This window comes from Homo sapiens, chromosome 9, assembly GCF_000001405.40.
Source record: "Homo sapiens chromosome 9, GRCh38.p14 Primary Assembly".
NCBI classification, from domain to species: domain Eukaryota; kingdom Metazoa; phylum Chordata; class Mammalia; order Primates; family Hominidae; genus Homo; species Homo sapiens.
In genome coordinates, this window is record NC_000009.12 from 92,297,358 (window position 1) to 92,312,557 (window position 15,200).

The 15,200-nt window shown below is 37.6% G+C and overlaps 1 protein-coding gene across 12 annotated transcripts in view; it reads right to left on the minus strand.

Annotated features, from left to right (window-relative positions):
• NOL8 (nucleolar protein 8) overlaps positions 1-15,200 on the minus strand; it is a 27,993-nt gene continuing 12,793 nt past the window's right edge. For 7 of the 12 annotated variants that reach the window (NM_001438181.1, NM_001256394.2, NM_001438004.1 and 4 more), the window contains 10 exons: positions 13,789-13,902; positions 13,196-13,318; positions 12,814-12,904; positions 9,529-9,667; positions 8,396-8,473; positions 4,194-4,465; positions 2,533-2,659; positions 1,527-1,597; positions 900-979; positions 1-529 (listed from right to left, as the gene is read on the minus strand). In NM_001438181.1, the coding sequence (NP_001425110.1) occupies positions 479-529; positions 900-979; positions 1,527-1,597; positions 2,533-2,659; positions 4,194-4,465; positions 8,396-8,473; positions 9,529-9,667; positions 12,814-12,904; positions 13,196-13,318; positions 13,789-13,902 (1,146 nt within the window). In that variant the 3' untranslated portion in view covers positions 1-478. Of the gene's footprint in view, positions 530-899; positions 980-1,526; positions 1,598-2,532; positions 3,454-4,193; positions 4,466-8,390; positions 8,474-9,528; positions 9,668-11,547; positions 11,675-12,813; positions 12,905-13,195; positions 13,319-13,788; positions 13,903-15,200 lie in introns of those variants that run through there. The other 5 variants (NR_046106.2, NM_001330722.2, XM_047423554.1 and 2 more) reach the window with 5 other exon arrangements.

Genomic DNA, 15,200 nt, shown 5'->3' on the forward strand with positions numbered 1-15,200 from the left:
TAAAACTCAATGTTGACTTGTAATTTATCAGTTTAAACAAAAATGACAAAATGGAAGGTGTATTTGACATAATCAGAAATAAAATTTCAAATAGCCTATAATTCACACAAAGCCTAGGCTGGAAAATACAAGTGCTTTGACTCATTTATTTAAAAAGGCTTCATATAAACCTTGCATGAGAAGATGTCCATTAGTTACTCAGGATAGAGGGCAAAGAGATTATATACAAAAAGTATTTTCAAGGACTATCTTGTTCTTCCTTTATAAGAAGTTGAATTTAATTTTTGAAGTAATTACTTAGGAAGAAATGCAGAGGAGTTCCACAGAAAAAGATGGCAACCAGAATGATATTCCGTCAGCCAGATTTTTAAAATTCCTTCACTCTGAAATTTCTTCTTTGTCAGCTAAAACTGTTTTCTGGGTCAGTTTCCTTAGGTGAGCCTTGTTCACATTCAGTATCAAAACCAGCTGACATTTATTATTTTGGTTTCATTTTCCTTTTTGCGTCTTTATGTTTCTTTCGACAATCCTAGGAAAAAAAAAAGACTTGGTTAGCAATAAACAAATTGTTTTTAAGATGTTCAGTAGATAGAAGTAAAACAGGTTATTCTCACTGTCAGGGCTGTGGAAACCTATTTTGAAAGTGCTCTTTTGAAATGAAGAGGGGATATTGGCATTTTTGGCATTAACTGTTTATAATGGGAACTATAATTCAGTCTTTAAAAATCTGATGCTTTCGTGTTACTTAATAGGCTTGGCTGGATTCTGAGACCAGTCACTCAATTGAGCCAGTCTGCAGTCTCCTCACCTATACCATTCATGAGTTCCCTTCCAGGACTGTAATTCTAGATAGGTAACATGTCTATTTTAGGAAATAATATGGAGAAACAATTACTCACCATACGCAGGTTGGTTGTTCTGGCCTCCCAAGAGTTCCTGCTCATATTACTTCCTACTCCTCTCCAGAATAAGTCAGAACCTATTAGGGGAAAAAGAAGAAAGATGAGGCAGCAAACTACTACTAAAATTGGTAATATTCTAAGTGTTGGCATTATCAAGGTCTCGAATACCAGTTAAGATCATTCTTTTCCCTCAGTTTCTACCTATTTTCAAAAATTAGTATTTTTTCTTTCCAAATGAAAAATATAATATTGCTTTTACTGTTTATATATATCATTTACTATTATGTAACTTTGTTTATGCTAGGCTTTAAGAAATGAGCTCCCCAACAGCCTGAGTTTTCACATGGAATTTATGGCACTAAAACTTAGGGGTTTTATATGTCTAACATCTAAGGAAGCCCTTGGAACAAAACAACCCTTTGTTGATGAGAATGAGCGGGCAAAGAAAGTGGTGAGTGGGGAGCTCTCAGACCTTGACAGCTTTACAAGTTAACATTCATCAGTGTGAACAAATGGGGTTAAACCACATGACATTACCAACGGTCAAAATTCCTGGATGTGAATTACTGTAGCTGTATTATTACCTGTTCTATGTATGTAATTTGATGAAAAAAATGGACTGACCTTGAAGTCGTTCATCATTCTTAGAGAAAAAGAAAAATCTAGTGGTCTCTTTCTCAAGTAATGATGCTTCTCTGAAAAGAAAGGGACAAAGGAGAGAGAAAAATAGGTATTGGTTGGTTTAATTTCAATATTTAAGAAGAAATATTTACATTCAAAACATAAATACACTATTTCTTAAATATATCTTTTTTCATTTCCCCCTAGAATCCAGGTGAGCGAGACTCTTAAATATATCTGCTTTGTATTTTGTGCATTTTGCCCTGAGTTAAAACAACCCTCCCTCTAACATTCTTCTATCTGAAGCTTTGATAATGAAGACTTGTTTAAGTAGAACCTCTATCTTTCCTGTGTTGGTTGCTGATACTCTCACTCCCACCATTGCTACCCCATTTGCCAGTGCCTCCCATGGGTAGGCACCCAGTCAACTGCAACATCCTGTTTCCAGACCAGTGACTTCACTGTCAGGCCACCTTCCCTTTTCTATGCACAAACTATCTTCCCCTTAGTGCTATCCAAATCTCATGGAAAAGGAAACACACTCTCCATTATAAAAAGGCTAGAGAACACTCTAAAGAAACTGAGATGTCCAGGCTCAGTGGCAGGGCGCCTGTAATCCTAGCACTTTGGGAGGCCAAGGTGGGCAGATTACTTGAGGTCAGGAGTTCGAAACCAGCCTGGCCAACATGGTGAAACCTCGCCTCTACTAAAAATACAAAAATTAGCCAGGTGTGGTTGGCACGTGCCTGTAATCCCAGCTACTTGGGAGGCTGGGACAGGAGAATTGCTTGAATCTGGGAGGCGGAGGTTGCAGTGAGCTGAGATCATGCCATTGCACTACAGCCTGGGCGACAGAGCAACACTCCGTCTCAAAAAAAAAAAATAAAATAAAAAAAGAAGCTAAGACAATTTAGTTGTCATGTGAAGAGAAGCTAAAATATTTCTAAAGTATGTCTAATTCAGATTTTACAAATTATGAACTATGCCTGCAAAGAAACAAATTGTTTACCCAGGACTGGAGTTTCTGTGATCTGTTTCTTCAGTAACATCTTCCTCTTCTGAACTGCTGTCTTGTAAACGAGGGTCTTCCTGCCAGACAATCTTTCCAGGTTTCACTGTTTCAACTCTGTAGGTCTCTATATCGTTATGACAACAAAAGATGATGGGATTGTAACTCCACAGCCAAGTATTTCTGAACACATTCATTTGATTACTTTTACCACGTAGACATATCTAAAGTTCCAATATGTTAATCATTAATTTAAAATAGTATCAAAAAAATAGGTAGTATCATCTTTTTAGATTTTTCAAATATTTTCAGAAGCCACTATCATAATTTTGGCATTGCTAGAATGATCTGATAAGGACAGCAGTAATATAAAAAAGGTTTAAAAAATAAAGGTTTATAAATGAGCTATATAATTTTTAAAAATGACACCTAAAATAACCATGGCATCTGTGCTTGCATGAGAAGCCTAAAATATAATAGGATACAGGGAAATCAGGTTTCCCTCTTGTCTATTTATAAATGAGAAAAGGAATATATCTTTACATTTTCAATACCCAAAACTTTTTGCTAGAACTGCTGGAAAAACTACTGCTATAAGATCAGGACAATCACCTCACAAGTCTTCAAAATTTCCCAAGTACTTAAAAAACATCTTTCAAGTTGCTGATGTCTTTAGGACTCGTTTCAAGGTCAATTTCTCACGTTTTGCTCTCAAAGTTAGAAAAACTATCGTTACTATTTACATCATGCCAACTCTACTCAACAGTTTATATAGACAAGAAAATGAAGTCTTATTTGCAATACTTTTTGAACAACTACTAGATTGTTATACTTCCTTTTAAAGTACCACGGAGTTGGTATTATCTGCTAGTGAACCGAGATTGCACCACTGCACTCCAGCCTGGGTGACAGAGACTCTGTCTCCAAAAAAAAAAAAAAAATTATTTTAATCTACCAAACACATGTATGCTATTTTAACTGCTGATCTTTAAAGTAGAATCATTGTAGTTAGGTATGTGTGTATTCTTCTGTATAGGTATTACCTGCTTTTACAGTGGGAACTTCCAGAAAGCTGGAACCCTGGGTGAGGAACAGGTCAGGTGTTTTTTAACCTGTGGCCCATGTTGGCCTTTAGAGGTAAGCCTCTTGAAATGAAATGCAAAACTGTATGTACTAGTGTTTATACTTCTCTCTAGGTTCTGGCAAATCTTCAAGGATAAACTGTGCAATAACTGGCATATTGATGACATGGCATATTTGTGTAAAACCAAGGTTACCTATATCTTCTTTTATCTTATATATAGCACTAGTTTTCCATAAGTCATAGCATCTTCAGCTTCATTTAAGATACAAAGCTCTTTATGTGATTTACTATACTTCTTCATGACGTTTTACTTAACAGAAAAGATGCTGTACATTATTCTCTGGCTTCCCTTCATATGGCAGCTAGTAGAGATTTGCTTCCTTAAATGCAAAAATAGTTTCTTTCACAGCTTCAGGAACATCGTGTTTATGCTCCTGTGACACTAAATCTCAAATCTTCTAGGTAGAAGAAAGAGTCCTTTCTTCAGCTAACATGAAATCTGTTACACTTAATGCAGATTCAATCAATTAAGTTCAAACTGAATAAAATAAAAAAGTATGGGAAAAAAGAAAAGTACCTTCCTTTATGTCTTTAGTGTCTGAATCAAAAAAAGAGAACGTGAACCCGCTGGGCTGCTCAGCGTCACTGGTCAGAGCTGCAGGGTCCTGGATTTCCTCAGGTTTCTCTTTACCACAGTCCTCATTCCAGGGTGTGCCCTCTTCCTTTTCACTGGTATATTTTGTAGTTTGGAATATTTCTTTCAGATCCATAGCAATATTATAATACATTTCTTTAGACACCTCAGGTAGTTTCTCAGCTTCCTCCCTTTTCTTTTTTCGTTTTGCTTTACTGAAATGACATATGTAGACATGTGCATCACAAAGAAACAAGTTTTGGGAAATTTCCAGAAATCAAGAAAAGAAAAAATCTTGGACAACTTTAATTCTATCCTATCAACAACCAGAATATAAAACTCTACTTATAAATAGAGAAATAAAATAAGTAAAACTCTACATATAGAACTCTACTAATAGAAGCAAAATCTTGATCAATAAGCTTTTTTTACACAAATCTCAAACAGCTGCATGAATCATATTCTATCATTCTCTGAACTACATTTCAGAAATTATGCCTAAACTATACACCTAGGTATAAGTAAGGAAATCACTTAGCTTCACTAGGCCTCAGTTTTCTCATAGGCAAAATGAAAACTGTAAGCCACATGACTTCTAAGATACTGGGAATTTTACCAGTAACTGGTAAAATTGTAAATCAGTTGTAGAAATTAATTATAAATATGTATAGTGTCTTTTGAAATGAAATTTTTATATTACCATAAATCTGCTCTGTATTTAGGAATGAATATGCTTTTCTCTTTGATCTGGGACAAAAAGTTACTTGGCAGTTTCCAATACTGAATTTTGAGCTAAGAAAATATTAAAATCCTTTTTCCTCGAAGACCAGGCCAAAGTTTGTAATGTACTACGTAAAATAATAAGTGAACAGGATATCCTAAATAACCATTCTTAGTGGTAGAGACCATATCAAAGAGAGAAACTTTTAGTATTTCGGTAAATAAACCAACCTCGTTAGGTTTTAAGACAGATATGCCTCTTAGGAAACCAAGCTCTATAAAAAATGGTAGGCAGTTCCAAGTGATTATCATTTAACCACCATGTGGTGGCTTTAAAATTTGTCCAAAAACTCTTTGTTACTTCTTCCTTCAAGGGGTGGAAGTTAATTCCCTCATCCCTTGAGTGTGAGCTGGACTTAGTGACTCTTTTAATGGACAGAGTAAGCCAAATGGGATGACATATAACTTCTGAGACTAAGATCACAGCAAAAGCTAGAAGGACCTTGAAAAAACTGTTAGTAGAAACCATATGGTCTTTGAGAAGGTTGCAGGTAAGGGCTTAAGAGAAAAATAAGGTAAATCCTATTGGAAACTGGAGAAGAGGGAATCCTTGTTACATGGTGGTAGAAAGTTTAGCAACACTGTCAACTGCATTGTGTGTACTGTGGAAAATGGAAAATGTACCTAATTAGCTGGGTGATCTAGCTAAGGAGATGTCCAGCGAAGTGTTAAAGGTATATTCTGGTTTCATCCTACTGATTACAGTGAAATAAGAGAGGAGAGAATGAAACTAAAGGGAGGAATTTTTTTTTTTAAAGGGAGCCAGGAATTCATGGTTTTGAAGACTCCTAATCTCCAGAAGGCAAATGACATGAAATTTAAGAAAGGGCTTCTAAGCAAAGATCAACTCTATGACAGCCTCAGAAAAACATGGTCTAAAGAAGGGGTTGGCAAACTATAGTCCATGGGCCAAGTCCAGGCTACTGCCTACTTATGTCTGAACTGCAAGTTAAGGAATTTTTTTTATCATTTGAAATGATAGGGGGAAAAACAAACATCATTTCATGAAAAAATTATATGAAATGAAAATTTCAGTGTCCTTTAATAGTTTTATCGGCACACAGCCTTGCTCATTTGTTTACATATTGTCTATGGCTGCTTTTCTTTTACAAAGGTAGAGTGGAGTCATCACAGCAGAGATGGTCTGGCCTGCAAAGTCTTATCTATTTACTATCTTGCCTGTCACAGAAAAAGTTATAGACCTCGGTCTAAAAATAAAACAAAATTCTTTGTTAAGACCCTAAAAAGAGATAAGAAGCTTCCAACTGTTACCCAGGAACAGTGGTGCACACCTGTATTTCCAGCTATGTGGGAGGCTGAGGTGGGAGGACCACTTGAGCCCAGGAGTTCAAGGCTACAGTGAGCTATGATTGTGCCACTGCAGTCCAGCCAGGTGACAGAGCAAGACCCTGTCTCTAAGATTATACAAAAAAGAAAATAAACTTCAATTGTTCAAACAATAGGGCTTCTATGGAGGTTAGAGGCATTATCTCTCAGCAGTTTCAGTAGAAGCCCAGGGTTAAAAAAACAACAAAAAAGGCTTATCTCAAAATGATTTGTGTGACTTTCATCTAACAGAGTGAATTCCAAGAAGATTCACAGATAACTTATGAAGATTTTAAGAGAATTATATTATCAGAAATACCACTAGACTGGACTGGTAGGTACAGGAACATTTCAAAATGAACAGGCTTTTGGACTCCCAAATTTCTATAAGCAAAAAGCAGGTTGAAAAAACTACTCAGCTGTAAACCTGTGCCAGCACTTATGAAAAGAGAAGGATGATCCAGAAAGCCAAGTCAACGGTCAGGAAGAATTATTCCTAGGCCCTCAGTCCTAATCAAAGACCTTCCAACATTTGTCTGTCTAGATTTCAGAGTTACTATGGACATGTGACTCCTTTGTGCCTGTTTTCTTTCATTGAACAGTACCTATAGTGGTTATCCAATGCCTGTTCCACCGCTCTATATTGGAGGAAGGGTAGATAACTTGCTTTTTTAGTTCATAGGTCTTATCAAACAGAACTGCACTCAAGGTACTGTACTCAAGGAATAACAGAGAAGCCTCATCTGTACTTAGATCTGATCTGAATGATGACATCCTGGATTTTGAGCTGATGTAAAGGGATGAGACTTCTTAGGGGTATAGGGAGGGGGTAAACATATCCTATTTGTTCAATACGGATTATCTGAAATAACACACATATATCCTACATTGGAGGGAATATTAATATTCTACTTTAGTCTAAAATGTGATTCTTTTTAAAAGAATAATTTTGGAACAATTTTAGGTTTACAGAAAGTAACGAAAATAGTAGAGTTCCTAAATAGCCTTCACTTTGTTTTCCCTAATGTAATTATGTGTGTATGTAACTAGGATATAATTGTCAAAATTAGAAGATTAACATTGGTAGATTACCACTAACTAAACTCAGACATTGTTTTGATTTCACTAGTTTCTCCACAAATTGTCCTGTTGTTTCAAGATTCAATTCAGGATACCACACTGCCTTTTGTGATTTTCGTGGCTATTAGCAGTTGGAAAATGAAGGATTTAAACCAAGCTGCTACTGGTTGCTCCATATATTTGCCATGTTTATCCAACTGACTGCACATCTATAGGAAACAGAAGCTCCTACCACACTAGATGGTTGAATGGTTGCCCCCCAAAAGCTATGTCCATGTCCTAATTCCTGAAACCTGTGAATGTTAACATTATTTAGATAAGGGGTCTTGCAGAGATATTAAGTTAAGGGTCCTAGGATGAGGAGCCCATCCAGGATTATCCAAGTGGGCCCTGAATGCTATCACAAGTGTCCTTATAAGAGGCACAAAGAGGAGAGACAGAAAAGAAGAGGCCATGTGAAGATAGAGGCAGAAATGGGAGTAATGTAGTCTCAAGCCAAGGAACACCAAAGGATTGGTGGCAGTCACTAGAAACTAGGAGAGGCATAAAACAGCTTTGTTTCCCTGAACCTCTAGAAGGAACATAACCTGTTCACTATCTTAATTTGGGACTTCTAGGTTCCAGAACTGTAAAGAAATAATTTTTGTGATTTTAAGTAACTAAGTTTGTGGTAGCTACAGAAGACACAAGAAACTAGTACAAATAAAAGGCATCATTTATACAAATAAAAGGTATAAATGATAGGAGTACATATCATTTATAGATTCCTCTGTTAAAAGGTAAGACCTCCTCCACCACATCAATAATTCCTTTCTAACTCTACCTGCACTACCCCTACCCCACCAATCTTAATACAGTGGGACCAATGAGTAGGATATTGGTTCCTACCTACATTTTTAATTGTCTGAAATGAGATTAATTTACATGATCCTATTGCTAAAAGAAGTAGCTCTACTTACCTTTCTTTTGGCTTATCATCTCTTTTTCTTTCGTAAGTGGCATGGTCTTGCTTCGTTGGATCATAATGTATGATGTCCCTATGTAAAAAAAGGAAGGGAGGTTGGAAGAGATAAAAACAGAACACTAATACAAAAAGTAAGTAGCAAATTATAATTCAGCACTAGGAAGATTCTAATTTTGCAGCAAGAAGAAGCCATATAACATCAGATAAGATAACTAGGATCTTACTAGAAATAACATATACATAGATTTTTCTTGGAGACAGAGTCTCGCTGTGTTGCCCAGGCTGGAGTGCAATGGCGTGATCTTGGCTCACTGCAACCTCCGCCTCCCAAGTTCAAGCGATTCTCCTGCCTCAGCCTCCCAAGTAGCTGGGATTACAGGCATGTGCCACCATGCCCGGCTAATTTTTATATTTTTAGTAGAGACGGGGTTTCACCATGTTGGCCAGGCTGCTCTCCAACTCCTGATCTCAGGTGATCCGCCCACCTTAGCCTCCCAAAGTGCTAGGATCACAGGTGTGAGCCACCATGCCCAGCCGAAAAAATATTTTAAACTACCTACTTTTGAGATTTCCTGGATTTTTTTAGCTTTTAAAATGATTTTAAACATACTAAAATACATACAGATAAAATGATATACTATCTGGGATTTGCATAAAACATTTCATTGTGTAAAGTAGGGGTTGGATAAAGGTATAGAAGAGAACACTGGTCACATGTTGGTGACTGTAAAAGCTAGGTGATGGTGTACAGGGCTTTCATTACCTGGTGTACAGGTAATGATGGTATACAGGGCTTTCATTAGTCTCTCTAAATTTCATGCCTGAAAATTTCCATAACAGTTACGTTTATATAAATACTTTTACAGTTACTATTTAAACTGTTTCCCATTTGTTTCACTAATGAAAGCGATGCTGCTATGACATCTAAGTGTATAAATACAGAAATAATTTAAGATTAGTTCCTTGAAGTGAATCACTGGGTCAAAGGCAAGTATATTTTTAAGGGTCTGATACATATTGCCAGCTGCCTCCCCAGGCCATTAAAAGAGACCTAGTTTTAAATTGAGTTCAAGAAGACATTTATGGCAAAGGATGATATGGTAGAATGGGATGGAACATAAAACATACTTAAATTTCTTAGCAGCTACTGATCCTCTGTTTGTAGAATTGCTTAAGTTGATTTGCAAAACACTTTGTACAACATTCAGGGCTTTCTTTTTTTCTTCAGCAAGCTCTTCTTCCTCAGCAGTTTTCTTTTCATTTACCTCTTTGAGGAAAAGGGATAATTAATACTCTCTTGGAAAACACAGCCTGAGAAGTCTCAATCATCAAATATTTACCAAGTACCTAAACATGTTCAAAATCCATTAAGACAGGAAGAAGAAACTTTAACCTCATTTCACTAACCTCCATAACCAAAGACCCTCAGTCATAGCAAACTCAGAAAGTCTGCGTGACCAGACAATGAAAAGTCCTACTTCTGTTCCTAATTATGAAAGTCTGAATTTAATGGCTTTCAGTAGCAAGTCTAAAACTTTTAAGGTAAAGATCGACAAATGTAATAGAGCAAGATACTAATAACTACAGTGATTATAGACTCTTTGATTTTTTTAACATTCTAAACATAATCTAAATTACGTAAATCTAAAAATGATAAAGAGTGAAAAATGGTAATGGTATATCTGACAATATAAGATATTAGTGGATAGTTGTTTCAGTCTTTGATTCAATAACAAGTATTATGGGAAAAAAACCATATGCCCTACACATACTAAGGCATCATGGACTTTTACAAGCTACTATCCTCAACTACTACAAACAGACAAAATATCACAGAATAAAGTTAAACAGCTAGTTTGGATTACAGAAATACAAAAGTAGTCTAAGCCTGTATGACTCTTTCAACTTACTGCAGGATATAAATAACCAACTAACAGAAACTAGAATAAAATGCTAATTTAAGTACTCTACAGGGATGCCCCCAAAGTTTCTAAGGGTTCAAAGGAAGTTGAGATAGTGTTTAACTGAATCAAAAGATGCTTTATAAACTAGGTAAAGTTATGAGGTAGGAAAGATAGAGTTGAATCCCTAGAGGTGGTAGGAAAGCATGCTAGGTGTTGGAAACAAAACGAACACATATATTGAAATAATAAAGTACAAAAAGTTTACACTGCATTAGGTTGAAACTGCTAATTTCAACAACTTTTGACTATCAAAAACATCAATTTAAATTTTAATCTAATAAGCATTAGGGAAGTAGATTATAATGCTGAAAAAGGCTCAAGGTGATATAGGCTGGCTGTGCTGCTTACTTGAGACAAAACGTTGTGCCTCAAAATTTGGGAAGGGGTCTGGTGCAGTGGTTCCATGCCTATAATCTCAGCACTTTGGGAAGCTGAGGCAGGAGGATCACTTGAGGCCAGGAGTTTGAGACCCGCCTAGGCAACACAGCGAGACCCTGTCTCTATGAAAATACAAAAATTAGCTGGACATGGTGGCACATGCCTGTAGTCCTAGCTACTAGAGAGACTGAGTTTGAGGTTACAGTAAGCTATGACTGTGCCACTGCACTCCAGCCTGAGGAACACAGTGAGATCCTGTCTCCAAAAAAATAAAAATAAAATGTTGAGAAGGAAAGAAAAAAACAACAACAGAGATTCTAAGAATGGACACGCCATCAACGCAGAAAGGTTAAGAAGAGCTGGTTTGGACTTGCTGAGTTTTAACACAAACTCAGGAAAGCCTGTGGAAAATATCCAACAGGCGTTTAAGACCAGTTGGGAGCTCAGCAGAACAGCAAGGAAGAAAGAAGATCCAAATTTGAAAAATACTCATGTGCAAGTGAAGGCTAAAGCTATAGGGACTTACAGAACCCTGGGAAGAACCCATATTTGGAGGCAAAAGAAAAATTAGGAATAAAGAGTTAAGAAAACCAGGAAGTTATGATGCAATTGGAAGCAAAGTGAACATTTCAAGAAGGGATGATCAACAGTGACATATGCTCTAGGTTAGCTGAAGAGGATGTCATTGGAGACAATGCCACTGCACTTGGAGGACAAGTTGTTTACGGCTTTGAGGGAACACACACCCAAAGAGTTGTAAAGAAACAGACAAAATTGGCAGAAGTTAAGAAAATAACCTATGTACCTTCTAAATGAAGGTTAGTCTCCAGGTTCTGTTCATTCTTGTGTTTTCAACATGGAGTTTTGAGTGAGAAAGTCAAGTAGAATACAATGCTGGAAAGGGCTCAAGGTGATGGAGGCTGGCTGTGCTGCTGCTTGCAGGATAGACAAACATTGTGCTTTCAAAAGTTGGAAAAGGGCCAGCTACAGTGGCTCATGCCTGTAATCTCAGCACTGAAACAGAATTTGGGAGGACCCTAGAGAATTCATTTTAAAACTCTCTGAACCTTGGTTTCCTGAAACAGTCCAACACTGTTAATAATCACCTCAAAGAATTGAGAAGATCAAATCACAGATTGTTTTCAGTAAAAAGCCAACTGCTACTGAATTAGATGTAATTTACTTTTTCACTTCAAATTTAGAACTGAAAGAGAGATGGAGTACAAACTTGAAAACTGGCATGGTTAGAGGAATGGCTTTTTTGGGACCACAAGACCTAACTATGTCTGTAGAAAAAGGAAGAAGCTAGAAGGAGAAGAATGAAAATGCAAGTGATGAAAGGAGTAATAGGAAGTAGGAATGGTGAGGATTAAAATGCAGATTAGATTAATTCAGGAAGGAGAAAAAAAAAGAAGGGCAGAGAAGTTCTGAGATTAGGAGAGGGAATTAGGGAGCTCATTCAAGCCAGCGACGTAAGAGGTAAGGTGTTTTTAAAAGGGTAAGAGGAGAAGGTCCTGTAGAAAAAGATTGGAAGTACTGCTGTGAAAAATGCTATAGTAAGTGAAAAGAAGTAGAATTAGGATGCTTCTGATAGCATCATTACTCTTAGATACATTCAAACAGGGATAAATTCAAGTAGAATGGCATTCAGTGATACACAGCTTTAAAAAATAATCTGCACCAGGTATGCACACTGGAGGACGATGAACACTGTTCCTTTTAGAAAGCCAAGAGTGACTTAACTGTCTTCCATGGCTTCACCCAGAACCTGCTGATCCACTGCCAGGTAGGAAACTCAACTTCTTCTCATGCCAAGGATGGGATAGAGGAAAATGGTACCTTTGGTGGATGTTATTTTTTCCTTTCCTTTCTGGCAGCTCTAAGTAATTAAATTTTCCTAAATTACTATGTACAAACAAACTTAGTATTAACTGTACATTTGATTATAAACTCCTCAATCCAATGTCTTGGGATGGAGAGTTTCTTCATGTGTTAAACAAAGGAGGTATACTAGGTGATTTCTCAGTGTCCCCAGATATGACATCAGGACTCTGGACAATGAAGCATTTACCTTCCTGTTCCTCTTCACTGTCAGTTTCTAGAAATCGAGAGTCCATGCGGAATCTGTCATCGGTGCCAAAGTGCGACTGTAAATCCATGAGCTACACAGACAGAAAACATACATAATTGATAGCCACATTCCCAAGAAATTGCTTCTGACGAAGACTGTCAATGTACACCTCCCCACACACTGAAATTCACTACATTAAGATGTTTGCCTACCTCCATCTACTTATGAACCAATCAGAGAGGATCACAGAAGACTCACTCTCCAAATAAACACCCCGATGCTATAATGTAGGTTAAGGTCTGCCTGCATTTACCCAGATTTAAGGACTATGTCAAAAAATAAGGACATGCTGCAAGTCTAATTATTTTCAGTCTTCACTAACCTTCTGTCCAGCTCTGCCCTCAAACTGAGGTTTAATTTTGAACCTATTACTGTCATCTTCAGAATCAGATTCGTCATCATCACTGCTATCAAACAGCTTCCCTGATGTTTTACCCATAGACTCCTGTGAAGAAACACAACATTTATTAATAGCAGAGGCAAACAAGCAGTATTTCCCTTCATAACGTAATCTTCTCCCTCACATTGAAAGCCAGTAACCCAGACTCATCTACCAGGAATGAGTAAATGGCAGGTCAGGTGGAAATTCCTGACTCAGTGAAATCTAACTGGCCTCTGGGATCACTAATCCAGAGGCTCTCCAGTGAAGCCTGGATTTGGGGAGGTAGTTATTACATGCAAGAACAGTTTTTGTAGCGTTTCACTAATATTGATGTCATGCTGCAGATGTTGTGGAGAATATAGGTTCATATATAAAAATCTCCAAGACCCCTGTAGTCTCAATATGAGGTGACCTGGCAAGCCCTGGGTCTCATTGGGGCTCTCAGGAGGGTTTTATGTTGAGATTGCCAGTTGTTTGTGGTGTGGATCTGCAGAAGTAGATGAATGTCCACAGAGACATCCTGAACTTCTTACTTTCACCCATTCCTCTCCTGGATGGCTCTGCTCCTGAGTCGATGTCTCCTCTGTTTCACATTCACTGTCAGAACCGAAGATGATGTGCGTTGGCTTATCCTCTGGATGACCATCCTAGGGAGGCCATCGAAAGCATTGCATCTTAAAAAGATTTATGATGAAGACTCCAAAAGCAATTGCAACAAAATCCAAAATTGACAAGTGGGATCTAATTAAACTAAAGAGCTTCTGCACAGCAAAAGAAAAACTTATCAACAAAGTAAACAGACAACGTACAGAATCGGAGAAAATATTTGCAAACTATGCATCTGACAAAGGTCTAATACCCAGAATCTATAAGGAACTTAAACAAATCAACAAGCAAAAAACAAACAACCCTAGTGAAAAATGGGCAAAGGACACAGCAGACACTTCTCAAAAGACAAACACATGGCCAACAAGCATACAAAAAAAATGCTCAACATCACTGATCATTAGAGGAATGCAAATCAAAACCACAATGAGATACCATCTCACACCAGTCAAAATGGCTATTACTAAAAAGTCAAAATATAACAGATGCTGGCAAGGTTGCAGAGAAAGGGAAATGCTTATATACTGCTGGTGGGAATGTAAATGCATTCACCCACAGTGGAAAGCAGTTTGGCGATTTCTCAAAGAACTTAAAACAAAACTATCATTTGACCTACAACCCCATTAGTGGATATTTGCCCAAAGGAATATAAATCATTCTACCATAAAGACACATGCACACATATGTTTATTGGAGTACTATTCATAATAGCAAAGACACGAAATCAACCTAGATGCCCATCAATGGTGGACTGGATAAAGAAAATGTGGTACACATGCCCCATGAAATATTATGCAGTCATAAAAAAAGAATGCAATCATGTCCCTTACAGCCACATTGATGGTGCTGGAGGCTACTATCCTAAACAAATTAATACAGGAACAGAAAACCAAATACTGCATGCTCTCACTTATAAGTGGGAGCTAAATGTTGAGTACACATGGGGGAGCAATAGGCCAGGTACAGTGGTTGACACCTGAAATCCCAGCACTTTGGGAGGCCAAGGCAGGCTGATTGCTTGAGCTTAGGAGTTCAAGACCAGCCTAGGTGACATGGTGAAACCCCATCTCTACAAAAACACAAAAATTAGCTGGGCATGGTGGCACGTGACTGTAGTCCCAGCTACTCAGCAGGCTGAGGTGGGAGAATTGCTTGAGCCTGGGAGATGGAGGTTGCAGTGAGCTGAGATCATACCACTGCACCCCAGGGTGACAGAGTGAGACCCTGTAAAAAAAAAAAAAAAAAAAAAAAAAAGAACAATCAACACTGGGGTCTACTTGAGGGTGGAGGGTGGAAAGAGAGTAAGGATTGAAAAGCCACCTATTGGGCCGGGCACAGT